The sequence below is a fragment of the Homo sapiens genome, chromosome X (assembly GCF_000001405.40).
Source record: "Homo sapiens chromosome X, GRCh38.p14 Primary Assembly".
Taxonomy (NCBI): Eukaryota; Metazoa; Chordata; class Mammalia; order Primates; family Hominidae; genus Homo; species Homo sapiens.
Window position 1 is genome coordinate 12,865,178 of NC_000023.11, and position 26,839 is coordinate 12,892,016.

The following is a 26,839-nucleotide window of genomic DNA, read 5'->3' on the forward strand; positions in this document are numbered from 1 at the left end:
ATGTAACCCCAGTCTTCATGATAAACAAAAAGGCCCAGCTGATTTCCAAAATGCACCCCAGTTTAGAATCAGTCTGGCAAGTATCACATGAAATCCTATTGGTATTTGATTGGGATCACACAGCATTTGCAAATCAATTTAAGCAACATTTCTATTTTTACAATATTGTGGCCTCTAGCCCCAATAACAATTATTTCTCTTCATTTACTTATATCTTTGTGTCTGGGCAGGGTCCTGCCAGGAAACAGACGGCATGTTAAAGTGAGAAACTGATGAGTTCAGCAAAGTGACTATTTATATATTTGGACAGGATTTAAGGAAGTAAGAAAGGATGATGCAACACTTCAGAGGGGAGTCTTTCCGACCTCAGGCTGAAGGAGAAGGAACGATTACTGGAATTCAGGGAGGAGAGCATCACCAAACAAGAGCTTCATTAGAGGACTGCAGCCAACGCAGGGCCAGGCGGAGGGAGCCAGAGGGAGGCAGGCTCTGCTCTCCCTCTTCCTGCCCTTCAGTTTCCAACCACGGCCTCCTATTGGCCAAACCCAACCAGAAGCCAGCGAGCAAGGGGCTACTGATGAAGCACATATAGCTCAGCCTCCAGAGACACAGAACAGGATAAAAGGCTGAGACAGTGGGTCTGGTGGGGCAAAGAGAAAGCTTGCACCTGCCAGGTAAAGCATTATAGTCCCCATCCTCCCCCCACCACCTTAGTTCTTGTGCATTTCCCATCAGTTTTCTTCCAAAGCATTTCAGATCTCACTGATTTGAATGGGACCTCTTCTTCTATTACCAATTTGGATCAGTAATTATTTATGTATGAGAAAACTATTGATTTTTACATATCGTTGCATAGCAGAGTGGTTTAATAAGGAGACATTTGGTTTTTACTGCCTGTGTGGGTATCACTTGCTATGTGACTTGAGGCAAATCCAATATTTCTTCTGTTATAAATTCCAGTATTTGTAAAAAATGGGTAATAAGATCTCTATTTTATATAGTTTTAGTATTTAATGAGATAATACATATAAAGTCATTAAAACAGTGTCTGGCTCATAAAAAACCCTCAATAAATGTCACTTATTACTGTATCTGGTTTTTGAGCTGCTCTATTGCACCATTGAGTTTTCAGCCCAGTATATGTTAACCCTGATCATTATCTGCAGAAGTCCCCGTGCCACACTCTACATCATCCAAATTCTCTCCAGGTGGACTAAGTAGATTAAAGAACTTTAAACATAACTACCATATTTTGGCTCTATCTACAAAATGTCCAATAATCAGTTAAGAAAGGAACAATTCTCTTGGGGCCCACACTTTGAGAAGCAAATGCAGCTGAACTTTTTTAGAGGAAAGTGAGTGAACCAACTGGTAGCTTTGCCACTGCTTAAAAACCAGCATCCTTTCCAGCTGGGTCTAAGACAGAATAAGGTAAATTTAGATATGTCTCTAATATATCTATAGAACAGTGGTTCTCAACCCGGGGTGTTTTTGCCCCTTAGGGGATAATTTGCAATGTCTGGAGACATCTGTGATTGTCATAACTGGAAGGGGGCAGTGCTATTGGCATCTAGTGGGTATAGAGCAAGGGTGCTACCAAATATCCTATGGTGCAACAGAGAATTATCTGGTCAAAAATGTAAATAGTGCTGAGGGTGAGAAACCCTGCTATAAAAACGAAAGAAATTTGGTCTACAGAGTTGTTTGGATTTAGACAAGACGTTGCCCCAATAGTGGTGATAGAAATAAGAGGAACCCCGTGCTTTTGCAAAGCCCATATCTGGGGTGGCTTAAATAATCATGCTCCTCCCCATCCCCCGACCTGATCTTTGTAGTTGGAAACTCCAGGGCTGGCTGCCTGTAGTCTTTGTGACTACACTTCCTGCCTCCCATCACTTCATCTCAGAAGACTCCAGATATAGGATCACTCCATGCCATCAAGAAAGGTATTTTAAACATTGGAACACATATAGATAATTTAAGTAGGTAGATGTATGTGCTGTTATAAGGAAGTGGGGAGGAGAGAAGAGGGAACCGAAATCATATGCACAAAAATTTTTTTTAGAATATAAATAAAAAATGTGGTAGTCTAAAATGTCAATTCTTCAAAGATAAAGTTAGGCTTTCAGTAACGTTAGAAATGGTTTTCTGGAATATGTCTCCAGTCTACCTAACTTTGAGGAAGTAAATACTGTAAATAGATGTTTCAAACGCATTTTAAAGCAATGATCCTAGCATGTCTTTAAGCTACAGTATTGTGCTGTCTTTGAAATGTAAACTTTGATGTCTTCTCTTTCTCTTAGTTGATGCTATTGGGCCCATCTCAAGCTGATCTTGGCACCTCTCATGCTCTGCTCTCTTCAACCAGACCTCTACATTCCATTTTGGAAGAAGACTAAAAATGGTAAGAACAGCTCAGAGAACCTTAAAAAGTGTTATCTGTAATCTTTGTGGAAACAACTGAAACCAGCTGGCAAGAGCAATATTGAAGAATCTGTACTTAGGTTATTTGCTGGGGGAAAGTGCTTCCTGATATTTCACAATTGGCATTAATGAAGGGGGCATGTCACAATTTCAGATTAATCAACGCTTGCTCTGTTCAACTTCCTACAAGAATTAAATATGTGCTGTGGGGAGGAGGAGCAGATGTTTGAATTGGGGACATAGCTTCTATGTATCTCATTTCTTCAGCCTACAATTTTGGCTTTAAAGCCATAACAAATCACTGAATTACTGAAGTTACTTTGTGCTTTTTCCAGCATATGGTGTTGTCTTAATGACTGTGTGGATGAAAGTGTGTGGGCAGGCTCATAGCAATAAAATACGGGAAATCCCCGGGCTTGAGTGCTGTCAAAGAAAACTAAATTTGGACAGTAGATAAAGATACTATCAGGACTATTGCAATCGGCAGAAAGAGACCTCAGTATAGAAAGGGGCTCAATTCCAAATACAGCCAAAGACCAGTAAAGATTTCTGGCCAAGGAGTAGAGTGGGGGTCAGTGGATGGAAAATTACTAAGAGGAAACATCAAGGGTAAAAGGATTCTGGCTAAACCGACCTGACAGGATTCTTGCTGAAGACAGGCCAGGGTGATCAGACCTCACCTGTGGATGGTGGGAGATGAGGAATTTGATCAGATATTGAGGGTGATCACATACCAAGAGGAGTGGATTATCAATAAAATGACTTAGCAGGATTCCTGCTTGAACTGGGCAATGCAAAGATGGACATGAAGCCAAAGGCCGAAGCCTAGGGGTGTAGTAGAGCCTGATTAAGTTGAATTAAGGAGAGTCTTTGTCAGCGCTGGCTCTCCCAGTCACTAGTTGGGGGGGCCTTGTGCCTGTCATCAAAGTCCTCTGAAACTCAATTTCTCTGACTATGAAATAGGCATTAGAATCCCTCCCCTGTTGCCTTCCAGGGCCACTGTGAGGCTCAAATAATAGACTATTTTTCAAGTCCTTTGCAAGTGGTATGATGCAAGTGTGAGTTATTAGGTATGCCAAAACTTAGTCGGAAAAAGACGTCAAGGGCCTTTTTCTGAAATTATTTTGTCACTTAAATCAGACACATTCTAGATCCGAATGTTAGCTCCTAGGCTCATTTTGTGTCAAAGTTCTAATGAAGCATTAACCATGGGGCTATTGTTACAAAGGAAACAACTGCTTACGGTTTCATTTCCTAGAAACCCAGATGTCTATTTTAATGCAAACCTATGCCCACATCTGTCTTTGCCCCTTGATGGGTGGCATAATGGGAATGATAGTAATACAGAGAGCTCACATTTCTTGACCACTCAACTATCATGCTGAGGGCTAGATAGACATGATTCTATTTTGGCCTCAAAGTAGCCCTATAAGGTAGAGATAACGAAACTGGGGCTTTGAGAGGTTAAGGAGCTTGGGTGGCTCTGAAAGCTGTGCTGAAGACTCTTCTGTTCTTCCTAGACCAAGCCCAGCACACACGCAATAAAGATGAGGTTGGATATGATGGCTTCCTACTCAAGTACAAAGGGGAAATAGTATATCTTTTCTAAGAAAAGACGTGAAAATAATTTTCAATATAAGAAATTCAAAAGGCAAAAAAGCACAGGGAAAATATTCAACTGTATTGAGTCATATGGCAGATCCTTTGATCTAGAGATTACACTTTTAGAAACTCTTCTTAAAGAAGTGACCATGAGACTGGATAAAAAAATGTGGCACATATACACCATGGAATACTATGCAGCCATAAAAAGGAATGAGATCATGTCCTTTGCAGGGACATTGATGAAGCTGGAAGCCATTATCCTCAGCAAACTAACACAGGAACAAAAAACCAAACACCGCATGTTCTCACTTATAAGTGGGAGCTGAACAGTGAGAACACATGGACACAGGGAGGGGAACAACACTCACTGAGGCCTGTAGGAGGAGGGTGGGGCAGGAGAGAGCATTAGGGTAAAAAGCTAATGCATGCTGGGCTTAATACCTAGGTGATGGGTTGATCTGTGCAGCAAACCACCATGGCACGTTTAACTATGTAACAAACCTGCACATCCTGCACATGTACCCCAGAACTTAAAAAAACAAGCAATAAAATAATTTTAAAAAAACAAAAGAAGTGATCGTGGACATGGAAAACTATTTACCAAGATGGTCAGTGCAGCCAGGCAAAAAAAAAAAAAAAAAAAAAATCATGTCCCATGTTGGGAAGGGGTGAATTAATTGTAGTAGACTCATTAAATGGAATATTATGTAATCATCAAATCATGTTTTTTAAAATAATACTGAATGACCTAAGAAAGCACTCATGGTATAATGTTAAATGAAAAAAGCAAGCTAGAAATGGATAAGTACCGTGTATTCCTCATGTTTTTACTGCACCTGCTAGGCAAATACTAGATGCTCACTAAATGTTGGATAATCTGTGATGATGGTTTACATAAACACATGTGTTGCATATTCTAATTTCATTCAACATCCCTACTTTATAACCATTTTACAGTTGGCAAATCAGAGGCTCATGAGGTCAAGTGATTTATGAAAGTCAGAGAGCTCTTACATGACAGAACAAGGACTTAAAACCAAATTTTTGTACTGACAAAGCCTTGGCTGTTACTAGAATGCTTCTCACCATGTGAAATAGATGCAGGGATGGGAAATTACTATTAGAAGGGACCATCTCCCAAAATGTCAATAGTGGTTCAGCAAATTTAAAAGTAAAAATATTATTCTGCTCTTAACCTATAGGAAATTTCTTTATGGCTAAAAAAAGGTTATTAAGTAATCAATTTATTAAATTAATACAATCTGATTATTTAAAAATTTGGAACGCTGTACTAAAATTAAAAATCATCATTACAGATTAACCAGCCAGTACCTCTGCACCCCAAGAATAAATAATGTATATCCCCGAAACTCACCGAAGTTTAGGGCTGGGGTTGGCAAACTATGGCCCATGGGCTATATCCCACCTGCTGTACAGCTCATGAGCTAAGGGGTTTTTTTTTAATTGTTGTTTTTAAAAGACTGAAAAATATCAGAGCAAAATTACTATTTTGTGACATATAAAAGTTACATTCAAGTTTCAGTGTTTACAAATGGTTTTATTGTTTGAGTATTTGTTTACTTATTGTTGATAAGTGCTTTTGCACTACGATGGCAAACTATTCAAGGAGTTGGGTAGTGTGACAGAGAACCTGATGGCCTGCAAAGATTAAACCATTTACTAACTGGCCCTTTACAGAAAAAGTACGTCAGGCCGGGGCTTATAGAAAACAAAGGGATAAGGTATAAGGTCAAATAGGTTTGAGAGCCCTATGGTCTTTGGTGACTGTTGTGATGCATAATAGCTGTTGAGTTCCTAATTTATGTAAGACAACTTTATATCCTTTTATTCTTTTAGTTTGAAAACTAAGTCTGTTGGGCTAAAATGATAGGAAGTAAATGATAACTCTCTCCTTTTTTTAAAAAAAAGCAAGTGGTTTACAACCTTGTACTTAAACGTTTTGGTGACATAATGAAACTGATATTCATGGTATTTGTACTTTACAGAGATTAAACTAAAATTAAAAATATTTCAAAATTCACAAATAGGGGATATTTGTTAATAAATCTATTTGGGAAATTCCTAGCAGAGGCTCAGTCTATAAAATGAATAGCATTTCAGCAACTTCCCTTATTCACAGTGCTTGGTTATTCTCTAGGGAGACATACACAACACATCTCTAGTTACCAAACAATTCAGTGTGATATAAACATGGCAAAAAGTCAATGAATTTGAGGGCAAGGTTTCCAGCAATCGCCCCGGCCATTGCTTACTTCTTCCATGCCCTTTCTAAGTTTTCTTCAGCCAGGCAGCCATCCCCTCTGGTTTCTCCCAGACCCCCGCTGCAGGCTCCCCGCCATCACAGAAAGCCCCTCGCTCACACGTCTTGGCTCAAGCAACTCTTTGTCTTAGAAATGCAGATCCCAACATTTCCTTTTAAACTCAGGCAACTTGGCTTTTTTCTGCTCTGTGATCTTGAAAGTCGCTTGGAGGAACAGCTGAGTGCATGGGGCTGTTGTCCTCTCAGGGCTAACATGTTGTAGCCCAGGGGGTGCCCAGGGGCCTTTCTGACTGGTTGGTTAGTTGGGTAAAAGAGTAGAGTCAGGAGAGCAGGAAATCCTTTCTTAACTCACTATAAAAATAAAAGCGTTCCCCAGGCCTCAAATAGTCTCATCTCAAGATAAATTTCCTTTTGCCAAGATTGCTGCTGAAAATAATCCATTGTAGCCAGATAATAGCTATGCAAAGAATATATAATAGACTGGCAGGGGCATGCCTACCGATTCAATACAGAAAGGTGAGGGTTTCATTTGCTGGGGTGTAGTGGGTGGGAGAATTCCTTATTGCAATCACACTCTACTTCTCCATCCAGAAAACTCTCCAACCCTCCTGGAGGACTCTCCATTTTCTCCTCTTTCTCCTCCTTGTGTACCTACCTAGACCATCTGCTCCCATATGTCCTGTCTGACTTCCTGTTCCAGTTACCTATCACTGCGTAAGAGATCACCTCAAAATGCAATGGCTTCAAACAACAACAATCATATACTGCTTTCTATCATGGGTCCAGGAGTTGACTGGACTCATTAGGCAGCTCTCCCACAGGGTCTCTCTTGGGGTGGCAGTCAGGCGGTGACTGCGACTGGAATCACCTGAAGACTCACTCTCCAGGTCTGATGCCTGGGCTAGGAGACTCAACAGCTAGGTGCCGAAGCAGCTGCAGCTCCTCAAGTGTCTCTGTCTCCATGTGGTCTCTCTAATATGGTGGTTGTCGTATAGCCAGGCTTCTTACAAGGGTGATGACTCAGGACTCCAAAGCAAGTGGGTGAGAGAAAGGGAGAGAGGGAGAAACAGGGAGAGAGAGAGAGAAAGTGTGTGTGTGCCAGTACGCGCGAGGTGAAAGCTGTATTGCCTGTGAACTACCCACCATGTCTTTCGTCCTCTTGACAGGAAACCTCCTAGAAATGTTTGCTGTCTCCAAATCCCTCTCCTTACGTTCTTCCAAGAACTTTGAAGTCATATTTTATGTAGCTACTCCTTCAAAACATATCTGGTGTTCGGCCAGTTCTTACGCCCTCCAGCACTGCTACCTGGGACTTCTGCTTGAATGACTGTAATAGCCTCTCAACTAGTCTCCCTGCTTTCACCCTTGCCCCTCACTGTCTATTCTCAACACAGCAGCCAGCAGCATCCTTCTCAAATGTAAGTCAGACCAACTGATTGTCAGCTCAAAAATTTGCAATGCATCTGCATTCCACCCAGAGCAGAGACCGCCATCCATGGAATGGTAGAGAAAGCCCAACATGCTCAGGGACACTCCCTCTCTGACTTCATCTCCTATTGTTCTCCTACACCCCCTGCTTCAGCAATATTGGCCCCGTTGCCATTTTTGTGAATATTCTAGCATGTTTTCACCTTGGGGCCTTTGCTCCAGGCTAATCCATCTGTCTGGAATGCATTTCCCCTGGATGTCTGTTATGGATGACTTTGTCCTTTCCTTGAGGTCTTTGTTTAGATATCAACTTCTTAATGATGCCTATCCAAGCTGCCCTATTTATCGTCACAATCCTACCCCACATTCCTGATCCTTTTCACTCTGCCCTGTTTTCTTTTTCAGTAACACTTATCACTTGACATGCAATATCATTTCTGACAGTTATATATTTTTGTGATTATTTAGAGAACATAAGCTATAGTTGAGTGGAAATCTTTTCTATTTTGTCCACTGATGTCCCAAACACCTAGAGAAGTACCTGGCATGTTGCAGGCATCAATAAATACTTGTTGAATTTTTCCTTTTTCACAATTTCCTTCTACGTTGTTATGATGAGATCTTATTTCCTCTGTAATTTGATTTTAAAAGTTTTAATAAAAAACAATACATATTATTTATGATAAAAAGTCAAAGAGTAGAGAAGGGTATAACATAAAAATAGAAGTCCCCCTCTTCCCAGGGAAGGCCCCTTTATACCACTGCCCAGAAGAAATTGCTATTAAAGGTTTCTTGTGTATTCTTTCCTACTTTTCTCTGCAAATACAAATATATGCATATATATTTATCATAAATGCATTATATGTTATATGTTATTTTAATGCTGCTTTAAAAATCCCCTTTATTTTTTGTAACTTAGTAGTAGATCATGCATAGCTTTTTATGTCGATACCCACAGCTCTACCACATTCTTTTTAAGGGACATTTGATATTTTACTATTGGTAGTTTCCCATTTTTAACCATTCTCTCAAATCAATGGATTGTCATGTAATTCTTCCTATTCTTACTATTTCAGAAAGCTGAATCAAACTAGCAAAATAGTTTTATCTAAAGACATATAAGGCCGGGCGTAGTGGCTCTTGCCTGTAATCCCAGCACTTTGGGAGGCTGAGGCAGGCAGACCACCTGAAGTCAGGAGTTTGAGACCAGCCTGGCCAACATGGTGAAACCCCGTCTCTGCTAAAAATACAAAAATTAGCTGGGAGTGGTGGCGGCTGTCTGTAATCCCAGATACTCAGGAGGCTGAGGCAGGAGAATCACTTGAACCGGGTAGGCAGAGGTTGCGGTGATCCAAGATCGGGCCAGTGTACTCCAGCCTGGGCGACAGAGTGAGACTCTGTCTCAAAATAAATAAATAAATAAATAATAAAGACATATAATGCTTACTTTAAAGAAAAACAAAACAAAACATGTACTAGTTATTTTTTTCCTCCCTCTGTGGAATTCTTAGAAGGTTTATGGTAGTTTGAAGCTTTGCATGGACCATTTTGAAACAGCAGCAGCCTGAGGTTCCAGGGGGTTATGAAGACTCCCAGCTGAGGACAGACCCTGGCAGATAAGTTTCAGGGGGCTCTACACCAACCATTAGAGTCATAGAATAAGCACAATAGAAAAGGACCATTAAGGTCAGTTAGCCAAACTCCAGAGTTTGTTGATGAGAAAGTCAAGGTTCAGGATAATTCAGTTGGTAGCCCTGTAGCAGACAGAGAGACTGAAAACAAATCTGACTTTCAGTTCACGTGGTGCTAACCCCTAGAATAAATAAACACGAGGAGAAATCAGACTAATCCCAGTCTTCTTCTAACTTGTCACAAGACACAAACCACTTACCTTCACTTCCTCATTTTTTCCATCTAATAGTTCCCAGTTATATACATGTCCTTCTCACTCCTCTGATTGCAACCAGACATCTCTTACAAGTTTACAAAGTTTTGAAGATAAAAACGCTATTTGGAAAGCGTAAAGTTAAAAACAGCTTGGTAAATGTTTTTTTTTTTTTCTATTAGTAATTCGATCTCTACAACTGTAAATATTGTGGTAGGAATCTAATACAGATCTAAAATCAGTAAAATTCAATCTTGAATATGGGCTTCAGTCCTGCCATCAAAATAGTGCATCCAGGTGGATAGGTTTTGCCACCTTGAAGAGTTGTTTATTCAAACTTTTGTTTGAAGAGTAGGAAAGCAGTGTTACCTTTAGGCCTGACTTAGCCCTTGCCCCACAATCTATTGTTTTTTCTCACCATAGATTTCCCTGACAGCAGAGAGAGAGTTCTGTGCTCAAGAGATACACACAGCTTCTGACAATAGAGCAGCAGAGTATTTGGTTCCTAATTGAGCAGGAATGGTGTTTGACTCATCATCATTTCCCTACTTTGTCTAGCACAGTACCTTGCACAGAGTAGATTCTCAATAATGTTTGTTGAATGACTGTGGGAGCATATAATTCATAATGGAGACAAAGCTCAATGAGGCTTTAAATTTCTAAATCCACAAAATGCCCTCATGTAACATTGCTGGATGATATGGTTTAGCTGTGTCCCCACCTAAATCTCACCTTGAATTGTAGCTCCCATAATCCCCACGTGTTGTGGGAGGGACCCAGTGGGAGGTAATTGAATCATGGGGGCGGGTTTTTCCCATGCTGTTCTCATGATAGTGGATAAGTCTCACAAGATCTGATGGTTTCATAAACGGCAGTTCCCCTGCACATGCTCTCTTGCCTGACGCCATGTAAGACGTAATTTTGCTCCTCCTTCACCTTCCACCATGATTGTGAGGCCTCCTCAGTCATGTGGAACTGTGAGTCCATTAAATCTCTTTTTCTTTATAAATTACCCAAACTCGGATATGTTTTTATTAGCAGCATGAGAACAGACTAATACAATGGACATTGGATGCAATTCATTTAAAAAATCATCTTAAAAATATCTTTCTTTTTTCTCCCTCAAGTTGGTCCCACTCAAAACATAAACACACCATTTTTTTTTTTTTTTGTCTTGAGACAGAGTCTTGCTCTGTCACCCAGGCTGGAGTGCAGTGGTATGATCGTGGCTTACTGCAACCTCTGCCTCCCGAGTTCAAGCAATTCTCCTGCGTCAGCCTCCTGAGTAGCTGGGATTACAGGTGCATGCCACCATGCCCGGCTAATTTTGTATTTTTAGTAGAAATAGGGTTTCACCATGTTGGCCATGCTGGTCTCAAACTCCTCACCTCAGGTGATCCTCCCGCCTTGGACTCCCAAAGTGCTGGGATTTCATGTGTGAGCCAGTGTGCCCAGCCACCATTTTTTAATACTTGTAAATTTTTCCTATAAAAACAAACCAATTTCTCTATGCCCCAAAACCGCTAAGTAGCACAAAATAGAAACATTAGAGTACCAAGAATACTTGAACTGAAAAGGAAATTAATCAAAATGCAGACACACATTATACCAAGTGCATTTGCTGTAGCTGTGTAAGGCAACTTGAATAGAATTGGTCAACAATGAGTCTGAATCTTGGTTTGAAATTGCCTGTCTGATCTCTGCTTCCTCATCAGTAAAATGAGAATATTTATATGGCCTTTCAACTTCAGTGTGAGGGATCAATGATGTAATATAAACAACAAGTCTGCCTTAGAACCTGGCACACCATAAGTAATAAAAGGCAGCCAATATTTTAAAAAATACACAAATCATGGTCTGATGGCTGTCCAATATAAATTCTCTATTTTCCATTTTAACTAAAGAGACGATATATTGAGAAAATAGAAACACCTGTGTGTATGAAATCACCCATTCCCATTTTTACAATAATTAGTTTGCTAATTGAGCATCCAAATTTACCCAGTGTATTTGCATGTGTAATTAGCTGTGATTCAATACCAAAGCCAGGCCTATCATGGTATACTATGCTATTTTACAAGTCAAATTACTGAAAGATGCATGTCTTTAGGCAATCATTACAAATAAAAAAAAAAAAACCGAAGCAAAACAAAATAACATAGATTATTTGTATCAGATGGACAAAACAGACCTGGCTTGATGCCGAACCCTTAAATCTCAAAATAACGATAGTTGAAGCTAAGGTTCCAGCTTAAGTCTGAAGCAGGTAGTTTCCAATGGCTTGAAAGGAGAAATTTCTACACTGAAGGAAATTTCCATTGGAATAAAGGAATATTTCACACTTTTAAGTCATCTTCTCTAGATGGTCTTTTGGGTATACTTTCTCTTTAAATAACAGATTTAGAAGCACTTTGTTCATTTGTTTAGAATTAATTCCATTCACAAGTTTAACACAGCCTAAGGTTTGGTCTAGACCAGGGGTCTGCCAGCTATGACCTCTGGGCTAAATCTGTCCCTTCACCTGCTTTTTTTTTTTTTTTTTTTCCAACCTGTGAGCTAAGAATGGGTTTTACTATTCTAATAAATAGTGAGTTCATTTTTCTCCCTCACCTGCTTGATCAGAGCCCAACTTTCTCATTGCAGTTAATCTTCCTTCTGGCATGGATCTTGGAATGCAAACTTGCTGGGATCTCCGAGTTCCAGGCTTCCCGTGCAGCCGGTGTGGAGAGCCAAGAGATGTTTTGTTTGGCATAAAGCATTCCAAGGGTCAGTGGGCTTGGGCTCAACTATTGAGCATAGGACAAGGGCAGCCCCATCCTGACTGTGACTCTTCCCACAAGAGACAAACGAGCTCTGTGCTTTCACTGGGGTTTCAGGTTCAAAGGGACAGAGCGTCTGAGAAAAAGGATTATGAAAGAGTCCGTCTGCAGCTCCACTTCCCGTGCCCTTCCAATGATACCATCCTCGTTTCTTCTGTGGCATGCTCCCCACTTCAATCCTTCCTTCAGAGGCCCCAAACCCTCCTGGTCTCTCCTTGTCACCTTGTGAAAATCTGATCTTCAGGGAAAAATTCCTTACTATTTATACTAGTATAATGTGAATCTTCTATGGGATTTTAAGAAAGTTCAAAGCCTTGGTTTACTCAGCAAATATTTAGCTTGCACTCACTATGTGGCGGGCATCCTAATGATGGAGTATATGTAAAGACAAAAAAAGTTTCCGGACCTCAAAGTGTTCTCCATCTATAGGGGCAGATGACTGAGTTGACATCTCGAGAAGTAGAATAGCAGAGTGGCTAAGAGTGCCAGCTCTGTCTCAATCACCTAGGTCTCACCTCAGCATTAATTTCACTTTCCTCATTGTAAATGAGCATATCTCTTAGAATTGGGATAAGCATTAAATAATATAGACTTGGAATGAATTTGCTTAGAACTAATTCCATGCACAAGTTTATCACAGCCTAAGGTTTGGTCTAGACCAGAGGTCTGCCAAGTATGACCTGTGGGCTCAATCTGTCCCACTACCTATTGTTGTTGTTGCTGTTGTTTTTTAATGACCTGTGAGCTAAGAATGGGTTTTACTATTCTAATTAGTTACATTCTCAATGGTTATTTAAGTACCTCCATAATATCCTCAATTTTGCCTAAAATATTTACCATCTGGCCCTTTACAGAATAAGTTTGCTGACTTATTGGTCTGGACCAATGCTATCTAATAAAACTTTCTGCAATGATGAAAATGGTCTCTATCTGTACCCTTGAATACAGCAGCCACTAGCCTAATGTGGCTTTTTGAGCTCTTGAAATATAGTTAGTGTGACTAAGAGATTGAATTTTAATTAATTTAAATTTATGGAGCCACATGTGACTATGACATTAGAGCAGCTCTAGACAGCCTGAAGTCTAAAGACTCTATGCTTTGTCGGTGCTCCCCTCTCTCAATTGAATCAACTACCCTGAGGCTGCATGAGTCAAGGGGAAGGCCACACTCTTCAATCAGATTTTTTGCCCTGGACTGGCTTTCATTGTCTACTAGAAAATGCTTAATGGGAAGTGCTTAGAAAATGTACATGGGCATACACTTAATTAATCTAAGTTGCTGCTTTGTCTGTATCCATTAAATCTGCTTTATTTTGGGGTAAACTACAGTAGAAGTTGGCTTTTTCAACCCTGCAAAGCCTTAAAATTCAGGATGTCTTACTCAACTTAAAGTGTAGAGTTGCAGCCAGAGCACAACTGTATTTCCTTCTAGCCCTGCTTGCAGAATGGCTAACTTCAGTCCTATTTCATTTCTCTTGTAAGACTGCTAAAAACAGTAAGAAGCCACCAACATCATTATGAATATTGCCAAATCATTTCGCCTAAGAGTAAAGTCACAGTTGGCATGTGTTCTGCCCTCCAAGACAAGATAGCATAGGTGACAGTTTTATCAGATATCTTGTGATGGCATAATATAGGCCACCCAGCTTTCCAGCCTCTGATATCTGAGTCTTCCCAATAGCCTGATGACATCCGCATCACATATTTTAGGTTCGCTCATGGACAGTAACTTATTTCCAAATTCTATACTGGTTAAAATTAGGTTTGCATTTGTGCAATAGAAAATCCAATTGACATTGGCTTAGCATAACAATTTTTTGATTTCTCATAAACTCTTGGCAGTCAGCAGGTCCAAGCCATTATTTCTGCTCTGCTCTCTGAGGTCATATAAGGAAGGATCTGGATGCTCTGGGTCATCTACGTCATCTAACTGGTTGCTGTGCCATCCCTAGCTCATTTTTCTCATGTGCATTGCCCAAGATGGCTGGCTACAACATCCACATTACAAGAAGCCAGGTGGAAGCAGACAGGAGAAAGAGGAGAAAGGGGAACTGCCCCACCGTTTAAGGACATGTCCCAGAAACTGTACACCTCACTTCCTCCCAAATTTCACTGGCTATCACTTAGTCATATAGCCACACTTAGCTGCAAGTGTGTCTGGGAGATATAATTATTTTTCACAGTGGTATATGCCCAACTACAAATGGAGGTTCTGTCATTATGAGATGAGAGAAAGGCAGAAAACATGTTGAGAGATGTGTAGCAATCTCTGGACTCCACGGGGATAAAAAAGAATTGAGAGTATCAAAATTCAGGATCAAAATCAAAATTAAAGATAAAAAATATCAATAACTATCACCTGGAATAAGAACAACGTACAGTTCAGCTACACATATACAAGTGGCAGCATCTTGTCTGGAAGGAACTAATGGTCTTTCTACATTGTATTTTAGATATGTATTTTTTTTTCTCCCTTCCACAGGATTTTGAGCTCCTTAAGGGCAGAGACTTTGTGTCTCCTGCTCCTAGTAGGCATCCAACACGTATCTGTCAACTGAAAGAATGAATATGAGTCAGTAGATACATATTAGAATTCTAATATCCACTGGCTGGGTCCTTGGTGTGTCCCATATTGTTGTTTCTGTGTCCATCATTCTTTTGCAGGGTATCTTCTACTGGGCACAGAACCTGCCTCAGAGGGGCATATGGGTAATGAACTACCAAGAAAGGAGTAGAACCCAGTTCTTCCAACCCTCCACCCAGAGTGCTTTTCACAACCTCATGTGTAATAAGTGCAGTAGGAGATGAGAGGAGGGAGTGATTACTTCTGTCTGGTTTGATCCCAGAAGGTTTTTTGAAGAAAGTGTTTTTGAATGAGACATTATGAAAACAGAGCTTCTTAAACCTTTTCCCCCAAGGAATCCCTGGGCAGATAGAAGAGACAGAAATCTGACCTCTGCTTAGTCTGGGGGTATAGACTGAAGGAACCTACTCAAAGGAGAAATTTTTCTCATTTTTCTTTACTTCACGATTCATATATGCAGGCATTCATTCTTTCATTCATGTATCTCACAGACATAACGAGGTCCTAATTAAGTGCCAGGCATTGTTTTACATGAGACCACAAGAGGCCCTACCCTCTTGCAGCTTACATTCTTGTACAGAATAGACATCATACGAATAAGCAACATAAATCATCAAGATAATTTCTGACCGTGGTAAGGGCTATGACCGAAATCAAACAGGGTAGTCAGTTACAGAGTGCATATACCTCTCTGTGCCTCAGTTGACTCATCTGTAAAATGGAGATAATAATAGAGGTCTAGGCTAGGCATGGTGGCTCATGCCTGTAATCCCAGCACTTTGGGAGGCCGAGGTGGGTGGTTCACTTGGGGTCAGGCATTCCAGACCAGCCTAACCAACATGGTGAAACCCCGTCTCTACTAAAAATACAAAAATTAGCCAGGCCTGGTGGTGCATACCTGTAATCCCAGCTACTTGGGAGGCTGAAGCAGGAGAATCGCTTGAACCCGGGAGGTGGAGGTTGCAGTGAACCGAGATTATGCCATTGCACTCCAGCCTGGGCAATAAGAGCGAAACTCAGTCTCAAATAATAATAATAATAATAATAATAATAATAATAGTCTATAATTCCAAAACCCAAAACTGAAAGCTTTGTCCTAACTCAGTTGATTGCAAACATAATATGATCTGAATGCATTTGGAGGTAGATCTTGACCTGAACTGAAGTTATTTATTCTTTTTAATAAATAAATGAGTTATTTATTCTTTTTAATAAATAAATGAGTCATTTATTCTTTTTAATAAATGAGTTATTCTTTTTAATAAATAATAAACTGAGTTATTTATTCTTTTTAATAAATAATAAATAACTGAGTTATTTATTCTTTTTAATAAATAATAAATGAGTTATTTATTCTTTTTAATAAATAATAAATAACTGAGTTATTTATTCTTTTTTTTTTAATAATTCCACTTAGAGTGGACAATCCTATATGTCACTGCAGAAATTTTGTGTGTTTGATTATGGAATGCTGCCCCAGGCCTCAATAGTTATTACATAATTTAGGGTACATGTAGCGTATTACCTTCTAAAATTTGAAAAATTCCGAATTCCAAAACACATGTAGCACCAAAGGTTTCGGATAAGGGATTGAAGACCTGTAGTATCCATTATTGTGAGGATTAAATGAATGAATATATGGAAAACACTTAAAATGATGCCTGGCATGTGGTAAGTGCTACGTAAGTTAACTACTATTACTATTATTATCACTATTCTTACATGAGAAGATATTTAGATAAGTTGGTCAGGGAAAGCCTCTCTGAGGATGTGTCACTTGAATAGGCAACTAAGGGGTGGTAATGACCGGGCTGTGGGAAGAGGAGGAGAAAGATGATTTCAGGAATAGGAAACAGCAAGTGCCAAGACTGTGGTGGTTACAAGGCTGGCTTGAATGCAGAACAGAAAACAGACCAGATGGCTGATATGTGGTAAAGGAGGGGAAAGATGGCTCAAGGTCAGAGAGGTAGGCTGAAGTCAGAACACCCTTGATATAAGCAATGGTAGAGACTTTGGATTTCATTTAAAGTGTAATAGGAAGACATTATAGTTGATCTGATTCAGGTTTATAAAGAACGCTCTGATGCTGTTGGATGAATGAATTATAGAGGAGAAGGGGGAGCAGGGAGAGCAATTTGGAGTCTAGCATAGTGGTCCAGATGAGACCTAATGACTAATTGGAGTTGGGAGGTGGTAATAGTCAAAGAGAAAAGTGGACAGGTGCGAGAAAAAAGTTTAGAAATAAGTGGGGGGCGGGGGAGGTTTTCTGATTAATTTGCATTCTAATTTATAATATGTCACTGTGTAGAGGCTAAAAATTTCACAGTCATTGTCTCAGGTGTGTTAAGGCCAGTGGCGTGCTGGACCCCACTTGAAATTGGCCATGGAGGGAATATTTACACTATAGAAATTGACAAATGCTACAAATCAAGACAACAAATCAGGCAAAGCTTCTTGTTAAACATTTACCATCACACCACTGGTGAAGGTGACTTGATTTTTCCACAACTAAACTTCCTTCATTTCACAGCCTCCATTTTCCCTGATCACGAAAACACTTAAACTAGGCACATCCTCGGAAACGCAGTATGAGGACTGCTGTGTCAATCACTTCATGTTTTTAACTCAATTCAGCGATCCTCCCACTTCTTCCCAGGCTCTCATTTAGGTACATGGGAATGGGATGGGAAGAGGGACCTGGTTCATGATTGTCATTTACCCACCTTGGCCCCCTCTGAAGTACAACTCCACTCTCTGCTTTACAATATCACTCTGGGCAGCATTACCAATTGCCTCCTGATAGTGGGATCTATGAACCCATTATGTCTTTGGACAAAAGCATAGCCAGGGGTTGGGTCCAGGGCCTGGGATCCTATAACCGTACAAATCCTATTATCAGGGACTATAAAATCCTATTATCAGGGACCATAGCCATCCCTCTATCTTGACTCAACTCCTCCTCCCTGAGTAGTGAACATTTTTCCTAAATCTCTGAGAAAGACTGGTGCTCTAGAAAGATGTACCATATTTATTTAAGGGCTTCCTGTACCCACTGGCATATTGCCATATATTCTGAGGTATCTGAGTGCTCCTTTTGAGAAACATAGCCTTAAAGGATAAGTAGAAATCTGGTGGGTGAAAATGGTAGGGAAGAGGACTTCTAACGGAGGGACTTGCAAGTCAGGGAACTTGGGTTTATCGACTAGTGAGGCTAGTAGAGGAATTCAATCAGGTAAGCCGGACAAGTAGACAGGGTACAAATTATGGAAGACTTTGGATGCCATGATAAAAAGCTTCAGCTCATACTGTAAAAAATAAAATAAAATAAGAAGGTTGGGTGCAGTGGCTCATGACTGTAATTTCAGCACTTTGGGAGGCTGAGGTGGGACGATCGCTTGAGCCTGGGAAACAATTTCAAGGAGTTCACAGCAAGAAACTGACTGATTAAGGTTTGGGAAGCTTGATAGATAGGGTAGACTGGGAAAGTGAGAGAGGAGGCTTTGGAGTGGACCAAGGATAGAGGGATCTCAGCTGATATTATGTCAGCTAAAACCTCAAAGCAAGGAGGATGTTAAGAACAATGAAGGAGGTCAGCTGGACTCTCAATGTTTTTAACGATAGGGAGGAAAAGATAGGGGGGTGACAAGAAGAAGAGACAATTTTGTACCTCTAACTCCAACAAACTTTAGACCTGAAAAATCCCTTCTGAGCCATCTTGCATTGGAGAAAAAAAATTGCTTATTTACCTCCAATTAGAGGAATTAAGGGAAGTAGGATTTTTTTGTTTTTCTTTTGAGACAGGGTCTTGCTCTGTCACCCTGGCTGGGGTGCAGTGGTGTGATCACGGCTCACTGCAACCTCAAACTCTTGGGCTTAAGAGGTCCTCCCAACTCAACCTCCCGAGTAGCTGAACTACAGTTGTGTGCCACCATGCCCAGCTAATTTTTTATTTTCTGTAGAGAGAGGGGTCTCACGCTATGTTGCCCAGGCTAGTCTTGAACTCTGGCCTCAAGCGATCCGCCTGCCTTGTCCTCCCAAAGCGTTGGTATTAGAGGCATGAGCCACCACATCTGGTGGAAGTAGGCATTTGGTTTCTTAGATAACAACATGATTGGTTGATTCAGTCACTTGGGAAGATAAAAGCATTAACTGAGCTAGATCCCTATGGTAGAGACACAGGCTGGACCACTCCATGCGTAAGTACTAAACTAAAACCAGTGTTCTGGAGTAGACATTGCTAGAAATCCTGAAACTTGAGAGCCAGTCCACGGTTAAAGCATTCTGTAAGGCAGAGCCAGTGGAAGGTAATAAGGTGATTTTTAAAGCTCTTCTGCACTTCCCATATTCCCTTTTAGGGCCTTTCTCCCTAGGGTCCCAGTGTCTGTCATGCTAAACCTAGATGCACAACAATCATCTTTATGGGTAGTTTCCCATATGTCCCAGTTTGCCTGACAGACTCTTGGTTTATGCCTATAGTCTTGGTGTAATTATTACCAGCCCCACTTCATTCTTGTAAGTATACTAATGGATCAGTTATACGGTTCCTCTGATTATGTATCACCTAGGCAGTGCCCTGACTCTACTACTATCTCCTCTCCAAATTTATGTAATGTAAACCCAATGTGTAGGGAAAATGCTCATCCTAAAATCTCCTTGGAGGGGATAATTTGCAAGATTCTTTGCAAAAACAATCCAAGACAAGAGCCAGATTATGGAATGTCAGTGCCAGAATGGCAGGAATGTATGTTTTCTAATCAAATGCCACTTACTACTGGGTAACCTTGGGCTAATCAGTTAATATTGCTGAGCGATGTCTTCATTTGTAAAACGGGAATCTTAGAATATTCTGAGACTCAAATACTATGAAAGACTCATGTAATGTGTACCAGGGCAGGTTTAGCAGGCCGACATAAATTGCACTAAAGTCTTCATGTGTTATTTTTCATGGGTGTATCCATATTCTAACATTTCTTCACCCTCCAAATTTCAGACTTTGGCAGTGAATCTATGGCTCTGCAATTTTAGTGTTCCATGTAACAACGAATAGGAAAATGCTGCTTCTACCCTCTCGAAAGCTATTTTGCTAAAGAGCTAAGATGCTAAAAGCTAAATATGTAACTAAATAGTTGCAAATCTCAGTAACTGACAAATACAGTCATGGGGTTGGGGATGCTGTTTAGACAGCTGAAAATAAGACCTGAATTGTTTATTTTTAAAATGTTGCAAAAGAGAGGCAGCAAATGGGAATTTTTAATTCTGATTCTTGGTATGTTTTAGAACAATGATTTGTTCTTTCTTATACTTTCAGGTGTTTCCAATGTGGACACTGAAGAGACAAATTCTTATCCTTTTTAACATAATCCTAATTTCCAAACTCCTTGGGGCTAGATGGTTTCCTAAAACTCTGCCCTGTGATGTCACTCTGGATGTTCCAAAGAACCATGTGATCGTGGACTGCACAGACAAGCATTTGACAGAAATTCCTGGAGGTATTCCCACGAACACCACGAACCTCACCCTCACCATTAACCACATACCAGACATCTCCCCAGCGTCCTTTCACAGACTGGACCATCTGGTAGAGATCGATTTCAGATGCAACTGTGTACCTATTCCACTGGGGTCAAAAAACAACATGTGCATCAAGAGGCTGCAGATTAAACCCAGAAGCTTTAGTGGACTCACTTATTTAAAATCCCTTTACCTGGATGGAAACCAGCTACTAGAGATACCGCAGGGCCTCCCGCCTAGCTTACAGCTTCTCAGCCTTGAGGCCAACAACATCTTTTCCATCAGAAAAGAGAATCTAACAGAACTGGCCAACATAGAAATACTCTACCTGGGCCAAAACTGTTATTATCGAAATCCTTGTTATGTTTCATATTCAATAGAGAAAGATGCCTTCCTAAACTTGACAAAGTTAAAAGTGCTCTCCCTGAAAGATAACAATGTCACAGCCGTCCCTACTGTTTTGCCATCTACTTTAACAGAACTATATCTCTACAACAACATGATTGCAAAAATCCAAGAAGATGATTTTAATAACCTCAACCAATTACAAATTCTTGACCTAAGTGGAAATTGCCCTCGTTGTTATAATGCCCCATTTCCTTGTGCGCCGTGTAAAAATAATTCTCCCCTACAGATCCCTGTAAATGCTTTTGATGCGCTGACAGAATTAAAAGTTTTACGTCTACACAGTAACTCTCTTCAGCATGTGCCCCCAAGATGGTTTAAGAACATCAACAAACTCCAGGAACTGGATCTGTCCCAAAACTTCTTGGCCAAAGAAATTGGGGATGCTAAATTTCTGCATTTTCTCCCCAGCCTCATCCAATTGGATCTGTCTTTCAATTTTGAACTTCAGGTCTATCGTGCATCTATGAATCTATCACAAGCATTTTCTTCACTGAAAAGCCTGAAAATTCTGCGGATCAGAGGATATGTCTTTAAAGAGTTGAAAAGCTTTAACCTCTCGCCATTACATAATCTTCAAAATCTTGAAGTTCTTGATCTTGGCACTAACTTTATAAAAATTGCTAACCTCAGCATGTTTAAACAATTTAAAAGACTGAAAGTCATAGATCTTTCAGTGAATAAAATATCACCTTCAGGAGATTCAAGTGAAGTTGGCTTCTGCTCAAATGCCAGAACTTCTGTAGAAAGTTATGAACCCCAGGTCCTGGAACAATTACATTATTTCAGATATGATAAGTATGCAAGGAGTTGCAGATTCAAAAACAAAGAGGCTTCTTTCATGTCTGTTAATGAAAGCTGCTACAAGTATGGGCAGACCTTGGATCTAAGTAAAAATAGTATATTTTTTGTCAAGTCCTCTGATTTTCAGCATCTTTCTTTCCTCAAATGCCTGAATCTGTCAGGAAATCTCATTAGCCAAACTCTTAATGGCAGTGAATTCCAACCTTTAGCAGAGCTGAGATATTTGGACTTCTCCAACAACCGGCTTGATTTACTCCATTCAACAGCATTTGAAGAGCTTCACAAACTGGAAGTTCTGGATATAAGCAGTAATAGCCATTATTTTCAATCAGAAGGAATTACTCATATGCTAAACTTTACCAAGAACCTAAAGGTTCTGCAGAAACTGATGATGAACGACAATGACATCTCTTCCTCCACCAGCAGGACCATGGAGAGTGAGTCTCTTAGAACTCTGGAATTCAGAGGAAATCACTTAGATGTTTTATGGAGAGAAGGTGATAACAGATACTTACAATTATTCAAGAATCTGCTAAAATTAGAGGAATTAGACATCTCTAAAAATTCCCTAAGTTTCTTGCCTTCTGGAGTTTTTGATGGTATGCCTCCAAATCTAAAGAATCTCTCTTTGGCCAAAAATGGGCTCAAATCTTTCAGTTGGAAGAAACTCCAGTGTCTAAAGAACCTGGAAACTTTGGACCTCAGCCACAACCAACTGACCACTGTCCCTGAGAGATTATCCAACTGTTCCAGAAGCCTCAAGAATCTGATTCTTAAGAATAATCAAATCAGGAGTCTGACGAAGTATTTTCTACAAGATGCCTTCCAGTTGCGATATCTGGATCTCAGCTCAAATAAAATCCAGATGATCCAAAAGACCAGCTTCCCAGAAAATGTCCTCAACAATCTGAAGATGTTGCTTTTGCATCATAATCGGTTTCTGTGCACCTGTGATGCTGTGTGGTTTGTCTGGTGGGTTAACCATACGGAGGTGACTATTCCTTACCTGGCCACAGATGTGACTTGTGTGGGGCCAGGAGCACACAAGGGCCAAAGTGTGATCTCCCTGGATCTGTACACCTGTGAGTTAGATCTGACTAACCTGATTCTGTTCTCACTTTCCATATCTGTATCTCTCTTTCTCATGGTGATGATGACAGCAAGTCACCTCTATTTCTGGGATGTGTGGTATATTTACCATTTCTGTAAGGCCAAGATAAAGGGGTATCAGCGTCTAATATCACCAGACTGTTGCTATGATGCTTTTATTGTGTATGACACTAAAGACCCAGCTGTGACCGAGTGGGTTTTGGCTGAGCTGGTGGCCAAACTGGAAGACCCAAGAGAGAAACATTTTAATTTATGTCTCGAGGAAAGGGACTGGTTACCAGGGCAGCCAGTTCTGGAAAACCTTTCCCAGAGCATACAGCTTAGCAAAAAGACAGTGTTTGTGATGACAGACAAGTATGCAAAGACTGAAAATTTTAAGATAGCATTTTACTTGTCCCATCAGAGGCTCATGGATGAAAAAGTTGATGTGATTATCTTGATATTTCTTGAGAAGCCCTTTCAGAAGTCCAAGTTCCTCCAGCTCCGGAAAAGGCTCTGTGGGAGTTCTGTCCTTGAGTGGCCAACAAACCCGCAAGCTCACCCATACTTCTGGCAGTGTCTAAAGAACGCCCTGGCCACAGACAATCATGTGGCCTATAGTCAGGTGTTCAAGGAAACGGTCTAGCCCTTCTTTGCAAAACACAACTGCCTAGTTTACCAAGGAGAGGCCTGGCTGTTTAAATTGTTTTCATATATATCACACCAAAAGCGTGTTTTGAAATTCTTCAAGAAATGAGATTGCCCATATTTCAGGGGAGCCACCAACGTCTGTCACAGGAGTTGGAAAGATGGGGTTTATATAATGCATCAAGTCTTCTTTCTTATCTCTCTGTGTCTCTATTTGCACTTGAGTCTCTCACCTCAGCTCCTGTAAAAGAGTGGCAAGTAAAAAACATGGGGCTCTGATTCTCCTGTAATTGTGATAATTAAATATACACACAATCATGACATTGAGAAGAACTGCATTTCTACCCTTAAAAAGTACTGGTATATACAGAAATAGGGTTAAAAAAAACTCAAGCTCTCTCTATATGAGACCAAAATGTACTAGAGTTAGTTTAGTGAAATAAAAAACCAGTCAGCTGGCCGGGCATGGTGGCTCATGCTTGTAATCCCAGCACTTTGGGAGGCCGAGGCAGGTGGATCACGAGGTCAGGAGTTTGAGACCAGTCTGGCCAACATGGTGAAACCCCGTCTGTACTAAAAATACAAAAATTAGCTGGGCGTGGTGGTGGGTGCCTGTAATCCCAGCTACTTGGGAGGCTGAGGCAGGAGAATCGCTTGAACCCGGGAGGTGGAGGTGGCAGTGAGCCGAGATCACGCCACTGCAATGCAGCCCGGGCAACAGAGCTAGACTGTCTCAAAAGAACAAAAAAAAAAAAACACAAAAAAACTCAGTCAGCTTCTTAACCAATTGCTTCCGTGTCATCCAGGGCCCCATTCTGTGCAGATTGAGTGTGGGCACCACACAGGTGGTTGCTGCTTCAGTGCTTCCTGCTCTTTTTCCTTGGGCCTGCTTCTGGGTTCCATAGGGAAACAGTAAGAAAGAAAGACACATCCTTACCATAAATGCATATGGTCCACCTACAAATAGAAAAATATTTAAATGATCTGCCTTTATACAAAGTGATATTCTCTACCTTTGATAATTTACCTGCTTAAATGTTTTTATCTGCACTGCAAAGTACTGTATCCAAAGTAAAATTTCCTCATCCAATATCTTTCAAACTGTTTTGTTAACTAATGCCATATATTTGTAAGTATCTGCACACTTGATACAGCAACGTTAGATGGTTTTGATGGTAAACCCTAAAGGAGGACTCCAAGAGTGTGTATTTATTTATAGTTTTATCAGAGATGACAATTATTTGAATGCCAATTATATGGATTCCTTTCATTTTTTGCTGGAGGATGGGAGAAGAAACCAAAGTTTATAGACCTTCACATTGAGAAAGCTTCAGTTTTGAACTTCAGCTATCAGATTCAAAAACAACAGAAAGAACCAAGACATTCTTAAGATGCCTGTACTTTCAGCTGGGTATAAATTCATGAGTTCAAAGATTGAAACCTGACCAATTTGCTTTATTTCATGGAAGAAGTGATCTACAAAGGTGTTTGTGCCATTTGGAAAACAGCGTGCATGTGTTCAAGCCTTAGATTGGCGATGTCGTATTTTCCTCACGTGTGGCAATGCCAAAGGCTTTACTTTACCTGTGAGTACACACTATATGAATTATTTCCAACGTACATTTAATCAATAAGGGTCACAAATTCCCAAATCAATCTCTGGAATAAATAGAGAGGTAATTAAATTGCTGGAGCCAACTATTTCACAACTTCTGTAAGCTTTATTGTGTTTCATAGTTTCCGTTCTTCTTCTGTGAGAACAAGGATAATGGCATTAAAAAATCAGCTTTTGGTCATTATAAATTGTCTTCTATTAAAACACATATACACATAAAATCACTTGAAGACAATTTAAACATCTTCTGAAATGGATCAAGAGGAAGGGAAACTGAAAATAATGCAACTCAGAAACCACAGAGTATTTTGACATGAGGTTAAGCACCGTGGTTTGTTGTAGGAAAATAACAGCACACCAACAGATGGTTTTTATCTGAATTCTTTGGTAATCTTGACATGTCATTCTTCTAACTTTCTGAGGGCCCTCAGTGCAGTTTTGTAGGACTGGAGCTGTTCACAGACGGTCCCCACAAAGCTCTGAACGTGGGGCTTCTCTGCTGACTGGCCTCTGGTTGGCTCCACCCCGGAAGGAACTCCCAGATTCTCCATGAATTCCGCTTCCACCATCAAGCCTTGGTCCAAGCCCCTTTCAACCTTGACTTGGCCAGGAAGTGTCCTTTCTCTTCAGATAGATACTACACCTTAGCAAGACTTGGCATTTTTAGAATCCAAGCCAAGGGAGGCACTTGGCAAGGCAAATGTTATGGATGAGAAAAAGGCAAAACAAGTGTCTGCAGTTTGTAGAGGAGAGAGAGGATGAGTCTGATTGTAGCCCTGACCCTGAGTCAGGATCTCTCGGCCCCATTTGCAGGTCTACTTCCAGCTCCATCTGTCTGGACACTCTTTTAGGTCCAGATCATCTCTTACATGTGGCCAAGGAATATAGAGTATGCAAGGGGATGTAGCGACCTGAGAGTGTGAGTAACTTGTGCCCATCTCCAAGGAAGCTGTGATGGGGATAGCAAGGACACACACTCTTCTTATTTATAATGCCTTTCCCCCTCCCATGAGATATGCTTTTTATTTACTTCCTCCTTCTCATCCTAAGTCGGGTGAACAAGAGGACCAGGTTGCACATCCTACTACTTATTTATGGCCCAATTTTAACATGGGGGTGGAGTTGAGGTTGGAATTGTTCCTCCGCCTCTGCTGCACATGCTCAGTAAGCAAGAACACTGTTGATGGGAAAGGCTTAGTCACAGACAGTGGGAGCACATCCCTCCTTGGAGCTTTGGGTCGCTGTGCTCCAGAAACAGTTAGTTATAGCACACCCTGCTCCTGGCATCTACTGGAAGGTGAAGCCCTTGACCCTAAGAAACATTGGGAATGATTTGTACCCTCCAAAGTCCAATAGCTATGTCGGAGGGAAACGATCAAAGAACATGATTGAGGAGACTCAAACAGAGATGTGCTTCAGACAACACCAAGACAGAAAATTAATCCATTTTACCAAGTTAACAATGTACTGAAGGCGAACAAGAGACCAACCCACCTGCCAACCAACGCTATGAAGAAGGAGGGTTGATCAGTCTGGCTAACATGGTGAAACCCCATCTCTACTAAATATACAAAATTAGCTGGGCGTGGTGGCACACTCCTGTAATCCCAGCTACTCGGGAGGCTGAGGCAGGAGAATCGCTTGAACCTGGGAGGCAGAGGTTGCAGTGAGCTAGGATCAAGCCACTGCACTCCAGCCTGGGTGAGAGAGTGAGACTTGGTCTCCAAAAAAAAAAAAAAAA

At 40.7% G+C, this 26,839-nt stretch overlaps 1 protein-coding gene across 1 annotated transcript, besides 2 other annotated features; it reads left to right on the forward strand.

Moving 5' to 3' along the window:
* On the forward strand, positions 1,895–25,184 carry TLR7 (toll like receptor 7). Its single transcript, NM_016562.4, has 3 exons — positions 1,895–1,946; positions 2,304–2,404; positions 20,335–25,184. Exons 2-3 carry the CDS (start codon positions 2,402–2,404, stop codon positions 23,479–23,481), a joined length of 3,150 nt encoding a protein of 1,049 aa, NP_057646.1. The 5' UTR covers positions 1,895–1,946; positions 2,304–2,401; the 3' UTR covers positions 23,482–25,184.
* Positions 2,733–2,802: an enhancer, noted in NCBI's record as "active region_29413". NCBI's record gives its function as "activates an Ori minimal core promoter by ATAC-STARR-seq in GM12878 lymphoblastoid cells {active_cell/tissue: GM12878}" and the evidence as "EXISTENCE:reporter gene assay evidence [ECO:0000049][PMID:35858748]".
* Positions 2,823–2,942: an enhancer, noted in NCBI's record as "active region_29414". NCBI's record gives its function as "activates an Ori minimal core promoter by ATAC-STARR-seq in GM12878 lymphoblastoid cells {active_cell/tissue: GM12878}" and the evidence as "EXISTENCE:reporter gene assay evidence [ECO:0000049][PMID:35858748]".